This window comes from Homo sapiens, chromosome 11 (genome assembly GCF_000001405.40).
Source record: "Homo sapiens chromosome 11, GRCh38.p14 Primary Assembly".
NCBI classification, from domain to species: Eukaryota; Metazoa; Chordata; class Mammalia; order Primates; family Hominidae; genus Homo; species Homo sapiens.
This window is the reverse complement of record NC_000011.10, coordinates 13,072,582-13,078,895: the sequence shown is the minus strand read 5'-3', so window position 1 is coordinate 13,078,895 and position 6,314 is coordinate 13,072,582. Positions and strand designations below refer to the sequence as shown.

At 48.1% G+C, this 6,314-nt stretch overlaps 1 annotated feature.

Moving 5' to 3' along the window:
• Window positions 4,550–5,749: an enhancer, noted in NCBI's record as "P300/CBP strongly-dependent group 1 enhancer chr11:13094694-13095893 (GRCh37/hg19 assembly coordinates)". NCBI's record gives its function as "activates an origin of replication core promoter dependent on BRD2, BRD4, P300/CBP, MED14 and CDK7 cofactors, with strong dependence on P300/CBP, by STARR-seq in HCT116 cells {active_cell/tissue: HCT116}" and the evidence as "EXISTENCE:reporter gene assay evidence [ECO:0000049][PMID:35650434]".

Below are 6,314 nucleotides of genomic sequence, written 5' to 3'. Positions count from 1 at the left end.
GTTTGTTTTATATAAGCCTGGATGGGCTAATAGTTACTGGACCTATTTTTACTAACCTTGGGTAAGACATGCATGGGTATGCTTAGCACCTCTCTGGAGTATGTGGGGACTTCTCACATGTCTTCAACTTTAAGGCTTCTTTGCCAAAATTTGGGGTCATAAGAAAGAGTTCCATTTAACATAATTTTACATGACCAAATCCAATGCCCTGGGGCTCTCAAATGAGGAAGAGCTAGTGGAATAATAGCGCTGACCAGCTGAGACCGTCTTCCTTGGCTGACACGCTGCCTGCAGATACACATTCGGAGCTCATGGTGATCCAGATGTTGGCAGCCATTGCTGGTTTGTGTCACACTGGGCACCACTCTGACCAAAAATGCTGCTGGCCAGACTTCTCAACCACATAGACTGTTGTGATTCTATTGCCCTAGCAATTTCTATTCTGTATTGCTAATTGTCCCATCATAGATACATTAGAGGTGCAGCTCTCTCTTTATGACAGACCTTAATACACCTTCTTGGATTTAGCCCCCCAGAAAGAAAGAGAAGCATCCTGGGCTAAATGCTGCCTAGAATCCTTTCACCAACTGCTCTGAAATCTCTCTCCAGGCTTGTCTCTTATTTCAACTTCCTGAACCTACCACATCTGTGTGACCCACTTCATGCTTCTTTGGAGTTCTGCTGGCTTTTCTGTGGGTTATATCATTTTTGCTTTTCTTTGTCTCTTTGTGCTCCCTATTTTCTTCTAGTTTGATCATCTCTTTCCCTTTTTTTTTTTCCTTCCTTTTTCCCACCTGTGCCTCCGTGATGCTGGAGACCCTGAAGACCAGAGATGTTTCTGAGCCCTGACTCAAAGCTCAAAATAGTTACATGAGTGAGTCCAAAATGTAATGTGGTCTTGCTTCTCCTGGCTGGACTGGGGACCCTCTGCCCAGTGCCAGGCCTCCTTATATGCCATAGTCATTTTGGGAAAGGCTGCAGACGTGCCCCCTTCCCATCTCCATGCATGCCAGCTTACTTCCCACCTGAACACCTGGTCCCTGTGTCTGCAGGCTTTCTCCCACTGCTAGAACACACCAGGAGCAGATCAGGTGCTGGGAATCAAAACCTCCCCTTTCCCCAGGAGCAGCTCTCAACGACTGATGGGAGCTGGCATCTAAGGAACATGCCCCTGGCTCCTTGGGTAGGATAAATCTGAAGCAAGTATTCTACGCTGGCTCCCAGAGCCACTTGGAGGGAAGAAGATCCATTTGCCTTGATGGCTGCCTTCGCTCCCCTGTTTCACTTTATGACTCCCCTGGCACTCACTATGCAGTCTCAGAAAGTGCTTCTAAGGGAACCCAAACTAAGAAAGTTTCCAAGCCAGAAATGAAAATTTCTTGGACAGATTGACCGGACCAACAAACACTGACCCAGTACTGGGCAGCTTTCCTGGGTGGCATGTCAAGCCGGCATCACATCTCTCAGTGTATGGCTTTGTATAGACAGGAAATCATGAAGAGAGAGATCCCAGAGGCAGACACCTAGGGAAGGATTAGGAGAATTTACTTCTGTCTCCATTCCTCTTCCTCCTCCTTTCTTTCCTGTCCTCTTACCTGCTTTCCCTCTTCCCCCACATGTAGAGCACAGCCTCAGGCTCTGTCACTTAGCTGTCCTCCTTTCATGGCTCCCAGCCAGGAGCTGACCTGGATAGGGGTGTCTGCCTCCCTTCCTCAGCCCTGCGAGTCACCCTCAGGAGCAGCCGGCATGCCCTATTCTGTGGGCACACCTTAAGGTGCCATTGTCTCAGGTCTTAGAAGACAGCAAAATGACTCACAGGTGAAAGAATCTGGTTCTGGGAAATAAATCCAAGGTAAAACTTAGACATTTTTGTTTCTCCTATTGGATAACAAGTAACCTTTTAACTCTCTGTCAACTGTATCAAAAAAGTGACTATCTCGTTACTTAATGTTGGCAAAAGTGGTTTAAGGGCTTCAGATGAGGCAAGCAAAGATGCCTCCGATAGCAGTGATGGGGAGAGAGAAGGTATTGTCTCATTCCTCCCTCCAAACATATCTGGATCCCACAGGATTGTACTTTAGCTCTATGCATGAGCTATGCAAAAGCTCTGAAGGCTTCTAATATGTCCTCTGACTGGGGTAGGGGTGGCTTAAAGGGGCTTGTCCCTGCAGCAAAATCTCAGCCATGAAGAGCCACTGCATGGCATTGTCACCTTCAGGGCACAGCAATGAGAGGGTAGGGGGTGAAGGAAAGGTTGAGGCATTGCCATGACAGCACCACGCTGTGCAACTCCCCCACAAGGAGGTGGTGTCTGATGCCCACCCATCGAGTGTGTGCTTCTGGGAATGGGGGAGTTGTAGAGTCACTTCCCTTTGTCCTCCAAGACTGAGGTTGGGGCTCTGGGGGCTGCATAGGGTGGGCTATGCAGCTCCTGGCCTGGTCTGCCTTAGGTAGGTCACAGCACAGCTGTCCTCAGAGATCAGCAGCTGGAAAGACACTTTGCCTGCATGTTTTGCCAACACACTTGAATTTTTTCTGCCAAGCAGAATGATTTACTTGTATGTCTTCATCGAGGGCAATTATTTTTTAGCACCTTGCTGGGCAAGCTGGGTGATCTCATCACAGAGAAGATCCTATGAGAGCCTGTCTCACTTGGAACAAAAGTAAGAAAAGTGGCCTCCCTTCTCCTGTCTCCATCCAGAAATTCTCTTCTCTCTCTGGCACTTCACACAGAGATGAGGGGCCTGCCATTTTTCCCTTGAGAGCCACTTGTTCACCCATGAAACTCATCAAGGATGATACTTTAAAAGCACCTCCCTTTTGGAGAGAGACCGTTTTTCTTTGTGAGAGAGAAAGGAAGAGCATTTCAGATCTCCTGCCTTTTAAATTAAAAAAACAAGTAGTGTAAAACATTATTCGGTGAGCAAACCTGACACTAAACGTGTCTTAGATTTCCAGATGTAGATAGCTGGGTGGAGAAAAAAGAGAAGAATGGAAAAGAGGCAAGACCAATGAAGGACTCTGGCAAGAAAAGAATCCATGGAAAAGAGGGAGAAGTGGAAACACAGAGATGGGGGTCACTGGTGCTGAGGAAAAAGGAGAGGGAGAGACAGGGCAGGAGACAGACGGGGAGAGATACCAGGCAGAGAGGGAGCGGGAGGGGAAATGAGGGCAGAGGGCCTCACATCTCAAACACATGGGATCTAAACACCACTGAGGCACACAAGCAGCCAAGCTTAGTGGGCAGCTCTAGAAAGCATGGGGCTGGAGGTGGAGTTTAGGGCACATCTGCTGTGGGTGATTGTTGGGTCAGCAGGAGAAGAGACAGCAAGTAAAGGAGAGGTTAGGAATTGAAGCAGCCTCCTGATTCTCCCTTTTCTTGCCAGTTTCTCTAAGAAGGCATCCATTCCAGCTTTTTCCACCTCCTCGCTGCCTTCCCACCTCCCACTCCTACTGCCCCTCCATTTGGACTCACTCCCACTGACCCTGCCGCTACAAGGCTGCTGTGGGCCAGATGTGTGGCTTTTTCTCAGGAAGATTTCCTCTTCAATCAATGCCTCCTCCTTCCTCTCCTTCTGTGGCTCCATCACCATGGAGGCAGTTTCATGGGACACGTAGATTCCCATACCAGTTGTGCTGCTTATTCATTGTTATACCTGAAACATGTCGCTTGCCCTCTTTGAGTTTTCCCATCTGGAAATTTGTGCAAACAATAGATAGCACTTAGCCTGCTGCCAGCACTGGATCCTGAGGGTTCTGATGGAAGTGTGTGTTTATGTGTGGTAAGAGTAAAGGAACATGATAAAGCGCTGTGAACTGTGGACTGATCTACAAATAGGACTTATTACTCTGTTTCTTCTGCTTACTATCCCGGTCCTCCAACCCCCAAACCAACCTCTGCTCTTTCTTCTTTAACTCATCACCTGTGAACAAACCTTCCCCAAGACTTGTTTTATACTCTCTTCAATTCCTAATCTCTCCTTTGCAGACTCAACCATCACCCAGGGCAGACAACTCCCTAACCTCCATCTCCAGCTCCATGCTCTCTAGAGCTGCCCTCAAGGTGTGGCTGCTTGCGTGCCTCAATGGTGCTTTAGATATCACATGTCTGAGATGGGACAGATAGAAGGCCTCACTTTGCCCTCAAACCAGCTCTTTCTTCTAGAGGAGTGGAAAAGCCACCGGTTCTATGGATAGACAGACTTGGTTTCAAACCCCAGCAATGCTGTGGATTGCCTTGCAGCAATCTTCCTGAGTTTCAGTTTGCTCACCCACAAAATGGGAACAATAAAGCCTCACTGAGAAATAGTATGAGGACTCAGAGTGATGAAATACTAAATAACAGCACATGCAAGGCGAGGCCAAGAGGGCACATCTGGGGCTCTCTAGACCCACACTGTAGCTGCACACTGCAGAATCTCTATTCTGCAGCCACTTCTCAATCACCATAAGTGTGGGGTTGCAGGAAGACACTCCTTTTGGCAGGATGGCAGGCCTGACTCTAGCAAATTGTCAAAATAACATAGAGGTCAAGAGCACAGACTCAGGAGCCAAATCTTGGCTTAACCACTTACTAGCTGTGTTGCTTTAGGCAAGTGAGTTAACCTCTCTTGTGCCTTAGTTTTCTTGTCTGTAAGATGGGAATCATAACTAGTAACCTTCCCCACAGGATTGTATGAGGATTAAATCAGATAAAGTCATGTGGGCTGCTTACAACAGTGAAGCAGTACCATATAAGTGAAGACAGTACCATATAAGTATTTTGTTTAACAAGTGTTATGTTTGTTATTAGTGACATTGTTTATCAAAGGTTGCATGTTCATTTGTTACTTAAGAGGTTTTGAGGGCCTAGTGGCACCTAGAAAATGGGAGGCCTGAGCACCCCATTGTGCCCTGTGCCAAGCCTTACTTCACCTTCTGTTGCACCGTAATCATCTCTCTGAAGTGAGACCAGGAGGACGTCCATCCCCATCCATTTCCCTCCTATGCCACCTTGGAGCCCTGATGTGAGCCAATTGCTTTGGCCACAACATGCATCCAGGCCAGTGACATCACCAGGCGAGAAGAACATGCTGGTGCGGGCAGGGGGATGACGTGCAGGGAGGGATGGAAAGTCCCACCAGAGCCCTGCTTTTCCTGCCCTTTGATGTGCGCAGCAGCTCCAGATGACTCAGGCATGCGGCATCATGGGTCACTCTCGGCACTGTGGCCGGGAACGGGGTGGGTGAAGGGTTGGGGCCTGGTAAGAGAAAGAGAAGCTGGGCACCAAGGAAATGAGGATTGGATTGCAGAAGGGCTCATTCCCTGTGGACAAGGCTGGACTTGCCCCTAAGGGCAGGGAGGAGAAACCTGGACAGATTTCTATTTCAGAAAGATCTCTCTGGCTACTGTATGGAAAAATGGGGCTTAGTGCCAGACAGAATGGGAAGTGAGGAGAAAAGTCACAGAGATGTTGTGGAAAGAAGATAAAGAGACCTGGATGTAGAGGGTGGCAGTGGGGAAGGACCAGATGAGTCCAACTTTAAGGGTAGAATTGGCTGGATTTGGTCACCCATTAGGGGTCAGCAGTGAGGAGGAGTGGAGAGTCTAGTGTGGCACTGAGGCCTCCAGAACACTGGATGGGAAAGTGCTTTGTCAACTGTAACATGCTCTACACACATCACCGTGTTCACCTCAGAAAGACTCCCCAAGGAAAAGGGCAACATCGTATTAATAGTGTTCATCACCTTCATTGACAAACACAGATTGGGTCCATGCTAGGTGCCGCACTGGCAGATCCAGAGAGTAGGCAGATGAGGCCCTGCCTTTGAGGTGCTCACGCCTGAGCTGGGGAGGCAGGCCCTCTGGTTGAGGAAGTCTGTACCTCCTGCCTCAACCGGATTCATTCAAGAACCAGAAAAAAACGCCAGCTCCTCTCATGGGAGGGATCTCCAGGATAGGACAGCTCTAAATTCCACGTTCTCCCCCCTCACACCTGTCTCTAGAGCACTGGAGTGACACGTACGTTCAATTCTGTTACTGGCACATCAAGAAATTTATCAGCCAGTTGCTTCATCTGCAAAATGAGGATGATGATAGGAGGAGGGATATGTTAACATTTAAGTAACATATGTAGCTCCTACAGCAGGGTCTGGCACATAGTAAGTGTTCAATTAAATGAGGTGTCATGATTATCACTATTACTATTGTTAATTTACTCTCACACTCCCAGCTGGCTCTTTCCTTACCTTGTCTTTAATTCCCCCAACAATTCCCAGTCCTCCTTCTCCTTCTAAGACTCATCCAAGACATAGTTAAATCCTCCCCATATATGA